The 19,728-nt window shown below is 33.5% G+C and overlaps 1 long non-coding RNA gene across 5 annotated transcripts in view; it reads left to right on the plus strand.

The window, feature by feature from the left end:
• Nucleotides 1-19,728, plus strand: part of LOC105379080 (uncharacterized) — a 166,831-nt gene that overhangs the window by 68,902 nt on the left and 78,201 nt on the right. For 2 of the 5 annotated variants that reach the window (XR_001742806.2, XR_007058865.1), the window contains exon 3: nt 7,889-8,035. The exons of 1 other annotated variant lie outside the window; for it this stretch is intronic. This is a non-coding gene — a long non-coding RNA (uncharacterized LOC105379080). Of the gene's footprint in view, nt 1-7,888; nt 10,986-11,133; nt 14,861-19,728 lie in introns of those variants that run through there. 2 more of the 5 variants (XR_001742805.2, XR_007058866.1) reach the window with 2 other exon arrangements.

The following is a 19,728-nucleotide window of genomic DNA, read 5'->3' on the forward strand; positions in this document are numbered from 1 at the left end:
AAAAGTGATAATTATATTGATAATTCTGATTTCATATTTCCTTGATTTATCAGATATCTGATAGAGACATCAAAATTATATGATAGTATATTCAATATCCTTTTAAAAAGCATACTTTAAGAATACTTTCACGATGGCTCACGCCTCTAATTCCTTTGGGATTTACAACTTTGGGAGGCGGAAGCAGGCAGATCATGAGGTTAGGAGTTCGAGACTAGTTTGGCCAAATAGTGAAACCCAGTCTCTACTAAAAATACAAAAATTAGCCTGGCATGGTGTGCGCGCCTGTAGTCCCAGCTACTTGGGAGACTGAGGCAAGAGAATTGCTTGAACCCGGGAGACGGAAGGTTGTGGTGAGCCGAGATTGCATCACTGCACTCCAGCCTAGGCAAAAGAGTGATACTCCACCTCAAAAAAAAAAAAAAAAAAAAATTTACATACAGTAAAATTAACTCTTTTTAGCATACAGTTCTATAAATTTAGACAAATGCATAGAATTACATAACCACTACTGTAATCAAGATATAGAACAGTTTAATGAACCCCAAAAGTACCTTGTGAAAACAAATTATTGATAAAGATTTGAAAATTTTTAAAGAAAATAGAAATTTAACCGAGTCAACCAATTAACTCAGAAATTATAAAAGTATAATTAAGCTCCATTAAGTGTAGTCTTAAGGCATATTTAACCTCAAGAAACAGAAACCAGTGCAAAGTAATTTAAGTTAAAACAAGGAAAAAACACAGGATACAGTCTTTGTTAGTGAAGACAGCAGCATCTTTCATAGATGAAATGAAATGTCAGTACTCACTGGAACTTTAGATTTGTTTAGTCCACTACTCACTTGATCTTCTTTTTGTGGTCAGCATAATTGTTTATCTTTGTAGTTCTCTGAGAAACTGTCCACTTGGTAGTGATGGCTGTTCCAAAAAGGCATCCCCAAGCCATGAGTCCCTGTTATCTTACAAAATCTGTACTCACATGGAATAAATGTATGCCTGAATTCAGGTCCCAAATTCCAATAAAAAGAATAAATGTGGCCAGGGAAGGAAATCAGGTTGCATACAGAATTACACATCTTAGCATCCATAGGTGGGATTGGCAGCCTCCTGCTTCACTGCAATGACGCCTCAGCAAGAGTAGTAGTAACTGTAGTCGTAGTAGAAATTATAATAGTAACAACAATGGTAAATCAAAAATACCAAGGTGGAGAGCATATTTTATTTTAAAGAGATTGTCTAGAGTATAGCTATTATTAAAGTGCAATAAGATAATATCTCAAACAAAGGAGGAACTATCAGATCTAGGAAAAGTGAGAGTCTCTATTAAGGTAATACTAAAATAACTAAGTGAGAAAAAAAGTTCCAGTAATAGTGATCAGCACTAAAATAACTCAGCCAATGTTTAGAATCTTGGTTATCAAACAAGGGATGTTCTCAAAACATATTCCCTGAAGATGATTTGGAGATAAATATTTGAATAATATTAATACATATACTTGTATTACAGTCAATTGGTTAATAGTTTAACCTGAACACGTTAATAAACACCATTTTAATTTAAGACACTGACAATACAAATAAAACATTAATGCATAAAAGTGAGTTCTATACCATAAAACTTATGTTCATTACACTAAATTTTAGAGATTGCCTGCAATAGTTGATGAAATCATTTGTTTATATTTCTATAATGACATATGTCAGTGATATTGGACTAGAATATTTAGATCATCTACAATTAAAATTGCATATCTCATTTATCCTAAAGATCTTAATTTAAAAATCAATGGTATACATGTAGTTACCAGTCACTCTGTCAAGTGTCCGGGAAAAAATAATACTGAAAATTTATAAACAAGATGGAAAGAGAGGGATATATCTATATATTGCTTTTCATTTTCTTTTAAATGAGATCCAAGATGATAGAGATGCAAAGCACACCTTTTCCACAAGCAAAAAAGAAAAAAAAATAGTGATTCAGCTTGAAAACCAGAAAAAAATCTCAGAGTGGAAAACAATTAAGAACTCGAATGTTTGTAGAGTACTTTTTCAGGGTCAAAATTATATCCAAAAATTATAAGTATTAGTTTTTTGCAAGTGATTCCTGACTCAGCAAAATAGAAATAAATAACTCATTTCTAAGGAGTCCTATTTTATATTTATATTTACATTCATTATGGAGAGCAAATATATTTTAAGCCATCTGCCACATTCTCTTCTTTTGGCCTCAGTGGTTCTTGGTACCACAAAATAAAATCTATTCACACACATACATGTGTGCTCATCCATGTGCTCACTCACACATAAACACAAAGCAATAAATTATAAATTTTATTATTTTCTAAACATAAGACTGATAAAATTTGAAATTAATTGTGGACTAATAGATCTACAACTAAAATTGCTACTTATATTGATAGGATCACACAAAGTAATAAAGATTAGTATAATAAAAATCTTGTGCTGATGTGAAGAGTTTAAATACAGTATCTATAACTTCAGTGTAGATTAGATACATATCTGTGTAAATAATATATTCTACAATTCGGAATATGATTACTTGCAAAATATTTATATTTCTTATATCATCTAAGGATCTTCCTTTCATGAAAGGAATGGATATATATTCCATTCTAAACCCATATTGAGGATTCTGAGTGTGTGGGTCTTTTCAGCTATAGTCAATGAAATGAACAAAGTCTTTAGAACTTCTGAAAATAGATTTTGAGCTACATCTCTAGAAAATTTTAATAAAAAATGCATGTAGCAGGCAGAGCCTTAACGTATTTAAATTCTTCATTATTCAATGGCTAATTACTCATTTTGTGATGACCCAGGTCTGTGGCTTCTCTTCTTTTTTCCCTCTGGCTGTCTGCCTTTGGCCATTTCACAGTTCATTAGCACCTTTAACATCTGATGGGCAGGAGAAGAATATAGGTATGGCTCAAATCAGTCAATTTTACAGTTTTGCATTACTGGGACTACAGATTCGGTGAGATTTGCAATTGAAACTAACACATAAAATGGAATTACAGAGGTATTTCTGAACTTCAAATAATTATTTTCACTCAAAAGTTGATTACACTGAGATAATATAACTAAGCATTTTTTAAGAATTGGTTTTTTGGTAGAAATTTCCTCTGTTCTCTCTTATATAATTACTAAGGGTTCAGTAGTTCACTGTATAATGTAGAGAAATTACAGACATAGAAGGAGGCTGGATTAAAACTATGGAAAGAACACATTGCATTAAATTTAATATTGACTACACATCACCAATAATCCCTTATCTTCTTAATGGCTTTCTCTCAAAGTAAATGAATAATCTAATAAACAAATGTAATACTTCTATAAAAATACTGTGCGGTATAACTGTATATGTTGTTATCATATTTTGTCTAAGATTCATATTTTTTCATGTATCTATTGTGATTTAAAATGAATAGATACACAGTTTTGGTATAGTTTCTTTAGAAAAATCTATCGAGAAATATTTATGTATTAAAATTAAGAAAACAGATATATAAAAAGAACAAGTGCCTTCACTCATTTAAGCTCCATTTCCAACAAATTTAATGTGAGATTTAAATGAGAAAATATATATTATGCATTGATTTAATGCCTGGAGCTTACGAAATGATCAACAAATAGCATTATATATTATTAAGCTTATATAAGTACATATGTATTTATATAACTGTTGTCTTTGTTTATGGTTTCAGGGTAAGAAATCCTGACCTCAGTGCTACTTTTACTGTTGGCATGTATGTCTCTCTAACAATCTCCCAAGGGGTGTATTCCATTTATACCATGTACAAGCCTCACCCATGCACTACAGAGTGGGTAAACATCCACATTAAAAAGGCAAAAGTTAATAACTGAGTTCTAGTTTTACTGTGTTTTAATATACTGTGTGACTCTGAGTAAGACATTTGACTTTTCAGACCTCCAAAACTTGACTTATATAATGGCCAAGGCTGAACATATATCATCATTTGCTGTATCCACTGCTCAAACATTTTGCTACCAACTTATCTCTGATCTTACTGGACCAGTTTTTTCCCATCAGAGTGTCTTACATTCCATAATGGTGTAATTCAAATTAGATGTTTTCTTACTTTCCATTGCAGTAACCTTCTTTAATCTGTCTAAGTTTGGGGAGTTTTGGTGCCTTATCCCCTTACTATGGTATTAATTTATAAAATTTTGTAAAATGGGACCACTCTTACTTTAAGACATGGTAAGATAGTTACCCCTCTGTTACTTACTTATCCTATTTTATCTCCCTTGAAAGTGTCTTGCCCTAGTCCAGTTTGTGTATCTCACTTTCTTGTCTTTATAAATAGACATTATCTCATATCCTTACCTTTCCGCATTTTTGGTATACAAGCAAATTATATTTATGGGAAAGCAAAAATGATATCCTATTTTGCACTTCTGGAGTACTCTCTTTTTTTTTTTTTTTTTTTTTTTGTATTCAGGAACTCCTTACAGAGTCAAGGACATAGTGGGGTCTCAGGAAACAGTAGTTGAATTGGTTGGGTGAGAAAGACTACATGATCTGAGTTGAACCATATGAGAAAGCACTGAACACCAAAGTACCTTGATGGATCATTGGATGATTGGAAAGAAAAGAACAAGTGAAAGAGGGGGAGATTATGAAAGAGAGTAAGTGAGCATTATCAGGGGGAAAGAGCAAAATGATCCACATTAAGAAATGAGAGGCTCTCTGAAAGAAGGGAAGTCTCTCCCAGAGTGTGATGTAGCATCAGATAATCCACGTACCTTCTTTTTGTTTCTGTTTTTAAAATAAAGCACCTTTCTCTAGTCTATTATTTTATTTTAAACTTATTTGATTAATCCATGCTATGTGCAATAAATGATAATAAGAAATGTTTGAATGAAAAGTTTTTAGAAAAACAAGAAAGGCCAGTTGGATTAATTTTTTTGTATGTGACTTTATTGTCATCCCTTTTCAAGAGGGGAATATTAAATTAAATAAGATTTTTGTAAAAAATGAACTTTATATAAAAGGAAGCAAATTGCTGAGCACAGGTAAATGTCACCACAGAACAGAGATATTCACGTAAGAAATTTTTCCTAATTATAAAAAGAGAGTACATGCACACATATACATACATATATGTGTGTGTATATATATGCTCTAAAGTATAAACTCATACTTTAAAACATACCCGTACACACACACACACACACACACACACACACAGAGAGAGAGAGAGAGAGAGAGGGAGAGGGAGAGAGAGAGAGAGAAGTCTGAAACTCCAATCTCAGGTACATATTATTATTACAGAAAAATAAACAAATCAGTAAAATTACTAGGCTAAATTTTCTATTTCAATGAAATAGCAGATTTGAAGCATTTTCACAGTAACCGTGTATGTTGACAATAAGTAGCAGAAGAAAATGAGAAGTGTTTTCTTACTGAACACATTGTACCTTTGGTTTCTGTATTTTAAACAAACTAATTTTCTTCTTATGTTAGATGTTAATTATGACCTTTGACTTTAGATAGTAATGTATAATGACTACTAGGCTTCATAATATCTCTGCTTCTAATTTATCTAAATATTTTGAGCCTATATTTTTATATTTTCAAAACTTGAAATTAGCACATCTGATTTCTGAGTAATATATGATGCTAAATCCTTTGTTACTAAAATCTTATTATATAAATAGGAACAAAAACCCAAACAGAAACAAACAAAGAGAAGCATCACTCTACAAACAACTATACTTGACAGGTGTTTGCTTGTGTTTTGTTGTTATTGATAAGCTTTTAAGAGCAATTTTTGGGTAAAACTGTATACTCTTCTACCTTCAGTCCCATTTCCAACATTACAAAAACTTGTTTGTATTATTTCAATTAAAATAATATTTTGGAATTACCATATGGCCCAGCAATCCAATCCTATGTGTATGCCCAAGAGAATCAAAAACATATGTTCACACCAAAATGTACGTGAATGTTCATATCAACATTATTCATAAGAGCCAAAAATTAGAAACAACAGAAAATGCTATCAACTGATGAAAGGATAAATATAATTTATTATATTCATGCAATGGAATTTTATGTAACATAAAAAGGAACAAAGTACTGATATACTATATGCTGCAACATGGATGAACCTTGAAAATATCATGCTTAAGGAAAGAAGCCAAATGCAAAAGGTCACATATTATGTAATTTTATTTACATGAAACATCCAGAATAGGCAAATACATAGAGGAAGAAAATAAATCTGTTGCCAGAGAATGGAGGAAGGGAATGGAGAGTGGCTGATAATGAGTGAGGGGTTTCTTTTTAGGGTGACAAAAAAAAATTCCTTCAGCTAGAGGTGATGGTGGTACAACATTGTGAATATACTGAAACCATAAATTGTACATTTTTAAGTGGTGAATTTTATGATAAGTGACTTATATATTAACTAAAAAATCTAAAAACGGTAATACTGGGGTTTGGTTTTATTTTTTAATTTGACTGTATTTTGGAGTAAAGTTTGCAATATTTTCCAACTTTGGAGGTTTCTCAAACTTAGGAGATAAATTTTTATCACTTATAACATTATCAATTCTTTGCAACTACTTCTTGAGTAGTCTTTATTATGGCTTTCAAGCAAGTGCTCATGGTTTTTCCCCTAAGTTGACTTTTTTTTTTTTTTTTTTTGAGACGGAGTTTCTCTCTTGTTGCCCAGGCTGGAGTGCAGTGGAGCAATCTCGGCTTATTACAACCTCTGCCTCCCAGGTTCAAGCGATTCTCCTGCCTCAGCATCCCAAGTAGCTGGGACTACAGGGGCGAGCCACCATGCCCAGCTAATTTTTGTATTTTTAGTAGAGACAGGGTTTCACCATGGTGGCCAGGATGGTCTCGATCTCCTGACCTCATGATCCCCCACCTCGGCCTCCCAAAGTGCTGGGATTACAGGCATAAGCCACTGCACCTGTCCCCCTAAGCTGACTTTCCAACAGTAGCAAAAGATGTTGATCATGAGCATCTCATATGCCTAGTCCAGAAAATGTGAAAATATTAAACATTATCTGAATTTACAAGTGAGAAATGTAAATTACTGGAATGTTGTGCCAAGAAAAGAAAATACAATAAAAGATTTTTACAAGTACAGATTTGGGAACACAGAAATTAGGTGAAGTTACAATAAAAATGTTCCTTCCTAAGTTTATTATCTTACTATTGATCATATTTCTATTTTGTAGAAAAGTAAGCATATTTAATTGCAGAAGTCTAACATGACAGTTTCCAAAATTATACAAATTTATCCTTAGAGCCCATTACAAATGCGGTACCAATAAAATGTAATAAAATAAGTCCACATCACAAATCTGATAAATTACTTTCTGTATAATTTTTCATAATATTTCACCTACTAATATCTATTCACTGGCATCCTGGATTTCAAAGGACATTAGTATACTGTAAAGTGACAAAACATTCAAAAGAGGGAAATTCTAAAAGACCTACATTTTTAACTTAAAGCTAGTAATTAAATAGTAGGATAATATAAAATAATATAACCCAAGGCAGAGTGTAAGTATCAGTTTGAAATTCCATTTTCTTAAAAATTATTCATCGATAGCATTAGGAGATATACCTAATGTAAATGACGAGTTAATGGGTGCAGCACACCAACATGGCACGTGTATACATATGTAACAAACCTGCATGTTGTGCACATGTACCCTAGAACTTAAAGTATAATAATATATATGTATTAAAAAAATTATTCATCTTTTCATAGGAATATCTAAATGCCTAAAGAATTTCCACAAGTTTCTGTTTTCCAGGCAAAAAGTATCTTTCCCATTCCTGTGCAAATCTTGCCTACCAACCAGGTTTGTCTTTTAGCAGGAGTCTAAAAACTCAAACGTATCTAAAAGCCATGACACAGAAGGCCTGGAGACTGCATGGAATGATGAGGACTGCAGTGAACTCTGAAGTGCCTACCCATGTGAAACGAACAAGTGCTATTCGGAAGAAGCAGGTTGTGTTAATGTAGGTGTCCAAGCCTAGAATCATGAAATTATATTTTTAAGAGAAAAATGACAATGTGCATTTTCATGTTTCATCATTAAAACACTTTATTAAAACACTAAACATGGCCACAAAGCTTTACGGATAAAACAGACACTATCTGGATATTTTGCATGAATCAAAAAAAAAAAAAAAAAAAAAAGAAAAGAGAAAGGAGTAAGTAGTTGGGACCATATGAATCATTATTTAAAAAGGAGAAAGTGAAATGATTAAGTAAAAGGGGAAAAGTGGCAAAAATTTATGGTGTAAAACTGAGAAAATATCTGCAATATATGTGCCTACTGTTTTTAAATAAAACAAGTTTTTGTATTAGATAATTTTTAACAATTATAATATTTGTTATAGTATTTCAAAGGATATTTTAAATGGTTTGCTATTAAACTTGATTATTTAAACACTAAGGAAAAAACCTTAATATTCTTTTGTACGTTACAAGTCTGAAGGTGATTTTAATACCCCACATCTTTACGTTTGAGCCGGCAGCCAGCAGTTGAAATTGACATGTGAGAGTTCTTCTAAGTCCCAGATGCTAGCTGCCAACTGCCTTTTTGTTCTTGTTTCCTTGGAAACGGAGATTGGTTTCATGAAAACAAGGTAAGTACAACTTTTACAGCAGAGAAGTGGAACGCTCCTTTGTCAGTTTCAGCTTGCTGGCTGAGACCTGTAAGTACAGCCTTCCAGAACAGACTGAAGTTGGAAGCCAGTTGAGGCACATCAGAGTTTATGGCAAAACAGCAGTACATATGTTCTTCCTATTTAAATTTAATGTGGGAAAATGATCCAATAAAAGATTAAAGTGATCAAAATTAACACAACAAAACTTTATCAAGTCAAAAACACTTGGAGCCTAAAGTGAAAAACATGATATAGCACATTTAATAATGAGATGCTTTTAAGTCTTCAATAATCTCAAATATACTCTTACTGAGCAATTATCTGGGTCAGTTGTTCTCAGATATGACATACTTCTCAGTGGCAAGAATGGCTCACCCTGCATGACTCTGGGGAGACATAAGGAAAAAATAGAAGTGAAATGAGACATTCTCCCCCAGCAATGTTTTGCAAAAGTTCTTCAGGTGATTCTGATTGGTCTCAATTCCTCTTCTTTTAAAAAAAATCACTGACCTGATCTAATCAGCTAATTTTAGGGAAAAGGACACCAAGGCACGGAAAGAAAGATAAAGTTAGTCATAGAAAACTTGAAGTCCAGCTAATGGTGAGTCAGGCAGAGAATCTAGCTCTGTTTCTGCTTCAAACATTTTCCTTTTTATACAATGGTACAGACGGTTTCCCTTGTAATTATTTCAAAATTCACTTGGTCATGTAATTTTTCTTTAGTATCATCAACTGAATGTAAAGAAGTGTAACCATGGTACCTATAATACCATATATACCATATGTATCATAAGGTAATGATACATATAATTATGTATCATAAGGTAATGATACATATAATTATGTATCATAAGATACAAGGATTTCAACAGTTATTCTGAATTTCAACAGCCACCTTTTTTTTTAACACCATAGTTAATTTGTCCTGCTATATACATAATGAGCTGGAAAATATAGCAAAATTAGGAGAGGGCATACCTTATTTTTTTAAGTTTTAACTTAATCAGTGGTGGTAATTTTACTTAACTTCAGTTTCATCAACAGAAGTTATTTAGGAAAAAAATTCACCTTCTAAGAGTTGAACCATATTGTGTGAAGATTCTTTGTATCCCTGAAGTGAATTACTGGCCAAAACAAAGGCTGTAAAAGCCCATGGCTACATCTGTTACCTGTTTAGGTGTCTTTAAAACATATTTACATTTAAAAAATTGAAATTCCCTTTCCTCTCTCGGTCGTCACTTGGTAAATTGTCAGTATGGTCTGATCTTTTAAGAAAAACTGTCTCTTTAAAATCGTGGTAAAACACAGAACTTAAAAAGCTAATTTCTATTTCAGTGAATCAAAGAACAGCGATTAAACACAAGGTTCCTTCAATGATGTTCTATCACAGCCTTCATGTTTCCCATCACACTACATATGGTCCAATTGTTTACAGATTACAAAAAAAATCCCTGCTCAGATGTTAAAACAAGATGTTTTCTTCACTTTCAAATGGCAGGCTGACTGCCAATTTTTACAATTAGTTATTCTGTGCAAAGAAAAAAAAAAGAAGTTTAATTATCACAATTTCTCATGTTTGGACATTACTCTGTGATGGGCAATCAACCTGAGAACTGACAGAAATGAACTCTGGTTCATGACATTGGTGGAAGGCTCTTGGGAAGACAGCTTTTTGTAAGAGAGAAAATAGCAAAATAGAAAGGGGAAAGAATCTTCGCCAGAAATAGGTATCGAAACATCAAGGCAAACCAGCCACCTGCCAGTGATGCTGTTTCCCTGTGGCACCGTCTGGCAGGCAGAATTTCACAGTGTTAAACAATAGTGCTGTGTACACCATGAGTGCACCTATCAATGGGTCACTGACTCTCTAAAAAGACTTGCTGATGGAGGTAGAGTGATTACAGGAGAGCAACAAACTGATGGTAGAAAGCCTCCTGTTCAGATGCCGGATCCCTGGTATTGCATGCGCTCAAAATTGGGATCCTCATTTTTTAAAGGAATTATTTGTATCTGCATTAAATTATGATTGATAGAATTGTTAACAGAAAGTTGAAGAAAATAGATTAATGAACTATATACGTAGAATTCCATGCTACACACACACACACACACACACACACACACACACATCAGTATCCACATCCCCTCAAGCCTCAAACATACAAGCCCCCAAGCTGTGCATATAATAGTCGATTTAAAAACTGCTATTGGATAAATAGTACATCCAGAATAATAACCAGTGACCACAAGATAGAGGATCATTGCTGGTGGAGTTAAATCATTTTACTTCATTTTGATTGCCTTTTAATAAGAGTTATATATTAAGAATCAGAGTTTTAAGAATTATTTGGGACAGTGATAATAAATATTTATTTCAGGATGAGTCGGGCTAATGCAGTGCCCAGCAGAGCTTTTTTTTTTTTTCATTCTGTCTCTTTTTGTAGGTGGAAGTAGCTGGATGCCAGTTTTCTGAGATTTGCCCAAACATGGATGACTTGCATGTTACGAAAGGATTTTGCCGTGTCAAATGTTTTCATTTCGTTTATTAGTTAAGACATATAATTCAAAACTCTTTGGCCACCTCTAGGAGTATGTATTTCATTAAGATTATGTAAAAACTACTAATAGTTTCACAATTGAATACATAAGTATGTGCCTATTTGGGGAGGAAGGGGCATTCAAATGACAATTAACAGTAACAGAGTAACAGAAACTGAAATCTCCGGCCTACCTCTAGGTCCGTTCCCAAGAATAACATTGTTAGTCTCACCCCAATTCTATTTAGAATTTAGTGCTATTCATCTGTATCCTGATATAATCATTGTTAAAACAATTAATTTTGCTCTCATTACGAAAAAATAAAGAATTTACCTAAAACCTATCTCTTTTCCTCTTGTACATCGAAGGTTTGTTATAATTTTCCATTCTGCTAATGATTCTCATTTTAAAGCATTCAAATTGATGTTAATTGCATAAGGAATACAGTAATATTTCCTCCTGATAAAAATCTAAAATGTTACAAATAAGGCTGTTACCCCTTTGATTCTCATTTTGATCTACACAAATAATTGAATATTTGTAAGGCTGTGATACAATAATCACAAATAAGTGATACAATAATCACTTTGGCCTCCCAAAGTGCTGGGATTACAGGCATGAGCCACTGCGTCTGGCCAACATTTACTTTTAACGTGTTACTGAAACTACTATTCAGGTTGAGTATGTACATAATGGAAGCTGACTCAAAATTTAACTGCTCCTATAAGAAAAAAAACTATGCATTTTCATATTATTGTCCATCCATTCATTTATTCATTCATTAAATTGTGTATTTATTAATGCAGAGCCAGATATTATGAATACTCAGATGATTAAGAACCATATATTACTCTCAAGAATACACTGTGAAGTGAAAAGATCAATGGTCAGTCCCAGACATCGATTTCCAAGCAAATATTAAGTCATTAGATCAATAGTAGCCAATAATAGGACCAAGCCTCTTTCCCTTTGGATTCCTATCCAGCTGTTGCCTCTGTGAGCAATGCAGCTTCCTAATTTCTTTGGTATACAAGCTTTTCTACTGTTTTCTTTACATTTCTAAGGCCTCTGGCCACCACTTTTAACATCTAGTTTATTAATTGTCACTACTTAAGTTAATCTTTGTTCTAAGAAACATATTTTCTCAAAAAGATCTAGAAAGAGATAAGTTTCATTAATGGAGACTTTTCATATTAAAAAGTTGCTGGAAACCGTTTTCTCATGCTTTTAAAAAATAATTATTTTAAGAATAAGGTGGTATTCCAATAAAGGTCATAATTAACATAAACTTAATAAAATTTGACCTAGGGAGGGTTTACTTAATGTAAGCTTCATTAGAAATCTCTTTTATTCTAAAATATTAAACCTAATCAACCCAAACAAAATTACTCAGCATGCTGAATATGATACTGAATGTAGTTCTGTACAGTGTTTTCTTTAAATTTGAAAGGTCAATCCAGACTATCAACCCATGACCAGCAATTACCCATTACAGAATCGTCAATAATTTTAACTTTGAAAATAGTAGACAGAAAATGGGAGTTCATAATTATTTGCTGAATGAGTGAATGGGAGCTGGAACAGGACTCAGGCAACCTAGTGTAATTACAACTAGTTTGTATTCCCTGGCCCTAGTTACCTCATCTGCAGAGTGAGATGCGTGGATACTGTTCGATTGTAACATATTTTATATGTATTAGGTTGGTGCAAAAGTAATTGTAATTTTTGGCCTTACTTTCATTGGCAAAAACTACAATTACTTTTGCACCAATCTAAATACTTTCTATATACTGGTGAAGACAGAAATTCAATGATTCAAAAATACAATAGGAATGTTTTTCCCTTCCAAGTACTTTCAGTTTAGAAAAATGGCCAAAATTTCTGTCTGTGATAGTTCTAATATTGAAAAAGTAAAGGTAATATAAACCATAATAAACAGCATAAGTATATTTTATGTGATTATTTTGATCATTTATTCCCCAATACTATATGACTATTTCCTGTGTGACATGCACCCCACCAAGTGCTTAGTATGTAATATAAAAATATAGACATACCTCATTTTATTGCACTTTATTTTATTGTACTTTGTATTATGTTTTTTACAAATTGAAGGTTTATAGAAATTCTGCATCCAGCAAGTCTATCAGTGCTCTTTTTCTAATAGCATGTCCTCACTTTCTGTCTCTGTGTCACATTTTGGTAATTCCCACAGTACTTCAAACTTTTTTATTATTAATATATCTGTTACTGTTATCTGTCATCAGTGATCTTGCATGTTATTTTTGTAATTGTATTGTAATTGTACTGGGGCACCTGAACTGTGCCCACAGGACAAATAAGATGGCAAACTTAATCAATAAATGTTCTGTGTATTCTGACTGCTCCACCAACGGGTCATTCCCATTTCTCTCCATCTCCTTAGATCTCCCTATTACCTGAGACACAATATTATGGAAATTGGGTTAATTAATAACCCTACAGTAACCTCTAAACATTCAAATGGAAGGAAGAATCTCATCTCTCTCACTTTAAAGCAAAAGCTATGAATGATTAAGCTTAGTGAGGAGGGCATATCAAAAGCCAAGATAGGCCGAAAGCTAGGTCCCTTGTGCCAAACAGCCAATTCGTGAATGCAAAGGAAAAGTTATTGAAGAAAACTAAAAGTGCTCCTCCAGCAAACACACAATGATAAGAAAGTGAGAAACTCCTATTGTTGATGTGGAGAAAGGTTGAATGGTCTAGATAGAAGGTCAAACAAGCCAGATTTCCTTAATCCAAAGCCTAATCCAGAATAAGACTCTAACTCTCTTCAATTCTATGAATGCTGAAAGAAAGAGATGAGGAAGCTGATGAAGAAAAATTTGAAGCCAGCAGAGGTTGGTTCATGAGGCTTAAAGAAAGAAGCCATCTCCAAAACACGAAAGTGCAAAGTGAAGAAGCAAGTGCTGATACAGAAATTGCAGCAACCTATCCAGAAGATCCAGCTAAGACCTTTGATGAGTGTAGCTACATTAAACAATATATTTTCTATGTAGACAAAACAGCCTTCAATTAGAAGATAATGCCATCAAGAACTTTCACAGAAAAGAGAGGTCAATGACTGGCCTCAAAGCTTCAAAGGACAGGCTGACTCTCTAATAGGTGAAAGGGAGTTGCCTCGTCTCATGAGACTTTGGACTGTGGACTTTTGAGTTAATGCTGAAATGAGTTAAGACTTGGGGGACTGTTGAGAAGGGATGATTGTATTTTGCAATATGAGAAGGACATGAGATGTGGGAGGGGCCAGGGCTGAAATGATATGGTTTGGATTTGCGTCCCTGCCCAAATCTCATGTAGAATTGTAATCCCCAGTGTTGGAGAAGGGGCCTGGTGGGAGGTGATTGGATCATGGGGGAGGATTGCCCCCTTGCTGTTCTTGTGATATTGAGTGAGTTCTCAGGAGATCTGGCTGATTAAAAGTGTGTAGCACCTCCCCCTGTGCTGTCTTCCTCCCACTCCAGCCATGTAAGACGTGCTTGCTTTTCCCTCACCCTCAGCCATGATTCTAAGTTTCCTGAGGCCTCCCCAGCCATGCTTCATGTACAGCCTGTGGAACCATGCACCAATTAAACCTCTTGTCTTTATAAATTACGCAGCCTCAGGTAGTTCTTTATAGCAGTGCGAGAATGGACTAATACAATAATTCTATAACTACAGTTCTTTGTGAATTGGGATTTACTCTCTTCATTTTTTTTTAAACTAAAATAAATGCAGAAATAAATCAGGGACTTCTGCTACCAGCCATGATTGAAAAACAGTAATGAGATTTACCGTCCTACCTTAAATAACTAGAAATCTGAGCAAAATATATAAAACAGTGTTTTTCAGGCAATGGACAACAGACTGCTGACTGCAGAGATTCCTAAGAACATTGAAATTATTTCTAGTAGGAAATCTTTTGTTTCAAAGTTAAATCACTAAAATATCTAAAAACAGCTCATATTTCTTTTCCTAAACGTAAATGTCACATGTTAAGCAAACAAAACTTACAGTATAGTGTTTATTGGATAATATTTTCAAAATACCACACATTACTTTTTCTATTGCATACATTTTTGTGATCCTATTATGTGGACTATGCCAAGCCAATCTAGTTGGCATTTAATTGCTCCTGGCTTATGTAAGTACCAATAGAATGTTTACCTTTAAATTTTAACTGCACGGATGTGCATATGTTTCAATTAAGGAATAAAGAATGGAAGAAAAAGAGAGGACAGAGAAAAAGACGATCGCTGAAGAAGAAACAATATTTTTTGAAGGACAGAGGCAAAATTCTCAAGAGAGAGCATATTTAGAAGAACATTAAATATATCCATAAATGTAGCCAAGTAAACTTCATGGAGAGCTCTGAATTATCTTTGCAACACAATTAATTCATTAAAGATATTCAATAATTTTTCTATATACTTTTTTCTTAAAGCTATAATAATCATTAAAATGTTGAAAAACTATACAAAAGAAATTCAATTCAAACTAAAAGAATCTGAAACTAGTTGGTGTAGTAGAAAGAGATTATGGAGAGAAGTAGTATGGAAAATTAGCAGGAAAGAAAAAGATGAACCCTCATTCTGGTCCTAGAAAGCAAGGATGTGGGGTTTAAAGTTTATTCTCTGAGTCAGTCATCTCCAAAAAATGAGTTATTTTCTATTTGCAAATGATGAACCATTGAGGAAGCAATCATAAAAACAAATTTTTAACATTTATTTTCCTAAATATAACAATCATATGATAAACAAATAAAACTTAGTATTAACTATACACACCCAGTAGCTACACATATATAATTTAGAGAGAATTATACATCTGGATGTATGTTTAATATATACATATTTTTTTCTCAACTGGAATTGCATGATCAAAAATTCTTGACATCATAGTCCTAAGCAAAGAAGGAAGGGGCAACTGAAACTTCTTGAGCAAAGGAATAACAGGATCAAAGCAATGATTTAGGAACTCTTCCATTTTTTGTTTGTGGAGTTGTTCCCAGTTTCACTACTTTAGGGAATTAGAATGATTCAATCTTTAGACGTTTCATCCTCTTTCGCCACACCCAGGCTGTCACAGCCTTTCTTGCCTCTATTGGTGCAAAAGGAAGAGGCTGTACTGAGTGGTCATTTAGGGAAATTTTAAAGGGTAATAATTTGAAATGTTATTTTATAAGAACAAAATATGAAGAGCAGACATTTTCACCCTTTATGCAGCATTGATATTCAGGCTCTCAGAACTGCAAAGGATAATCAGGCATTTGCTTGTGGAATAAACTACCAAAATACATTGTGTGCTTTATTCTAGGTGGGGAGGAAGCTGGCAATGTTCTTTAGCTTCTGAGAATGCTATCTAACGGCATGGCATGGAAGGAATTTACTCAGCTTTCTGTTTTGGAGGGGATTTCAGCCTGCTTCGGTTGACTATAATGTGTAAACTACTCTCAGTATAACAGCAGTGTGTGTGTGTGTTTGTGTGTGTGTGTGTGTGTGTGTGTGTTTCTAAGTGAATTAAAGTTACTTTGCCAGAGTGAGGAGGGCCTGGTATTTAATTTTAACAATTAGCAAGCTTGAGAAAGTATTTAAATATCAAGAAATGACCATGCTAAACATGTAGTACATTTACATCTTAATGCTGCTAAAAGAGAATGAACACAAAAACCATAAATCAAAGATATCCTTCCTCTTTCAGATGCTGACTCCAGTTAAGACATAGGATTTTAAGAATGCATGATGGAATTAAAAGCTAAAAAATGTATATTTCCGTTTATAAGCATTTCTATTACTTGAAAAAATATGTAAGGCTGGGCATAGTGGCTCACGCCTATAATCCCAGCACTTTAGGAGGCCAAGGCAGAGAGACTGTTTGAGCTCAGGAGTTAAAGACTAGCCTGGGCAACATAGGAGACCCCATCTCTAACAAAAAATAATGATAATTACCTGGGTATGGTGGTGTATACCTGTGATCCTAGCCACTGAGGAGGCTGAGATGGGGGAATCGCTTGAACCCCAGAAGTCGAGACTGCACTGAGCCATGATCATGCCACTGGAATCCAACCTGGGCAACAGAGTGATACCCTGTCTTGAAAAAAAATTATTTTTTGAAGTTTCCTTTTAAAAATTAAGAATTTTAGAATTGTATATAAAACAAATGCTGTGAAAATAGTGATCACATATTTTTGCAGTATGGTTCTAAATCTATGGATCTGTGCTGGCCAATACAGTAACCACCAGACATATGTAGCTAATTACATTTCCAGATAAATTAATCAATTAAAAGAGCCTAAATTTAATAAAATTAAAAATTTAGTTCTTCAGTAATGCTTGCCACATTTCAAGTGTGGCCAGGTGCTACTGTTTGGACAGCTATATCATACCATAGTATTAGTATAGACTAATATTCATTTCTAAACTAAATCTGAAAATAATTTGGGAACTTGTGATAATAAAATACTTGATATTATTGTCTATGTTTACATTTTTGTATGGTTTACATAAACAATAACTATTTCAATAATCAAAAAGACTACTAAAGTTCTTTTTATTGTAGGAATGCTGAAATGAAACCATTTTATGGTTTTACATATGAGAGTGGTGCTGTAGATAGTAACAAATTATTATCATCCATTTGATTAATTCATAATGCATGCCACTTAAAATAATGGGATTGCTACAATGGTCTGTTATCATTCTTTCAATTAAACATGGAAATAATACATTTCACAAGCATCAAAATTAATATTCATTTGGCATTCTATCAAATTACCTCATAATCATTGTGAATTTCTCAATTAGAACTATAAACCCTTGTCTTACTCAGAATAATATTAACAGAATTTTTAAAACAAAAGTACAAAGCAGGTCATTTAAAACACATCTGTTATAAGTTTGATAAGTAATCATTATAATTAGTGCTTTTACTGAAGATTTTACTGGAGGAGTTCAGTTTGTTTTTGATTTAAAAGCCTATCGAACAGGTATGTTACTATTAGGCAAGTTTAAACATAGGGAATTTAATATATGACCAAAAGATAACAGGATTTGATTCAGAAGGATATAGTCAGTAGTTTAATCCTATTACATTTTAGGTATAATTTAACCCAACCACCCAATTTTATAGATGAAGTGATTAAGATGTATGATGTGTGTGTGTGTGTATGTGTGTGTGTGTGTGTGTGAGAGAGAGAGAGAGAGAATATGTTTGTATAAATTAATTGGCTAACCCAAAATACAGCCTAGTTTTCCAGAGTACCAAGGCAATAGCAAGGTTCTTTTATTTCTGTACCCTTTTCAAAGAGGCTGAGAAAGGTGATATTAGCTTAGAAAAAAAAAAAAAGAAAGAAAGAAAAGAAAAAGAAAGAAAGAAAAAAGGAAAAAAGAAATCCAGTGCATTGTCTTATCATTAGCCATTAGTATATGGAACTTGGTAATTCCCAAGGTTACACATAATTCATATCTGACATTCATGACTATAGGAATAAATGTCCAGTAAACTGCACATAAATCATTATAAAATAACTCCTTCACACATTAACAATTAGAGTGGTAGTCAAAATGAAAACGATAAATTCAAAGTCTTGACTTAGCATATAAGACCCTGAACAATCTGGCTCCAACCTAATTTCTATTGCTTATATAACTAAACAAATCTTTGCTCTAATCAGTAAATTTTCAGTTCAATAAACATTTATTATGGTTGCCTACTATGTGTCTAGAATTGTTCCCAACATTAAGGATGGCCCAAGAAAGAAGGCACTGTTACTGTCTTCAAGAAACTGAGCAGGATGGAGAAACAAATATTTCTCTTTTCCTGGAGGATGTTAACTTTATGATAAGAAAAAACAAATAATTGAAAAAGATAGTAAGAGCTGTGACAAACATCCCTCCTATGGAAAACATAAAATGGAGTTAACCCAGGCATTAAAGAGATAATACAAGATTTGAATTTTAATTAGTGAGATCTGAGATGGGTATTCTAGACAAAGGTCACCCATATTTCTCCTAAGGTTCAGACCCATTTACTGAATTGCCTCCTCCATGCTTCTTAGATGTTCCATAGTTTCATTAAATTTAATATACTATAATTTAACTGACTACCTCCCATTTTTCCGAAACCTGCATTTCTCCCTGCTAAACTCCTGAACAAGCCATACATCTGATTTTATCCTTCGCTCCTTTGCCCACATACTTTACTTCCCTTCAACTACAAGATACTTCTAATTCCACCCCGAAGGATCTTTCAAATCCATTCTGTAGGCCCCCGTCCTCGCTATCACTAATTTTGTTCAGGGCCCCATCATAGTTCACTTGGATGACTGCAACTACAGTAGGTCTCTATTCCCTTAATGTTATCATTACTCCATCCACTTTATGAAGATAGAGTAATATTTTGAAAGGAAAATATGAACATGTCACCTCTTGCATAGAACCCTTTGATAGTTCTTCATTGCCCTGAACAGTATGAGCACTGCTAAT

This window comes from Homo sapiens, chromosome 5 (assembly GCF_000001405.40).
Source record: "Homo sapiens chromosome 5, GRCh38.p14 Primary Assembly".
Taxonomy (NCBI): domain Eukaryota; kingdom Metazoa; phylum Chordata; class Mammalia; order Primates; family Hominidae; genus Homo; species Homo sapiens.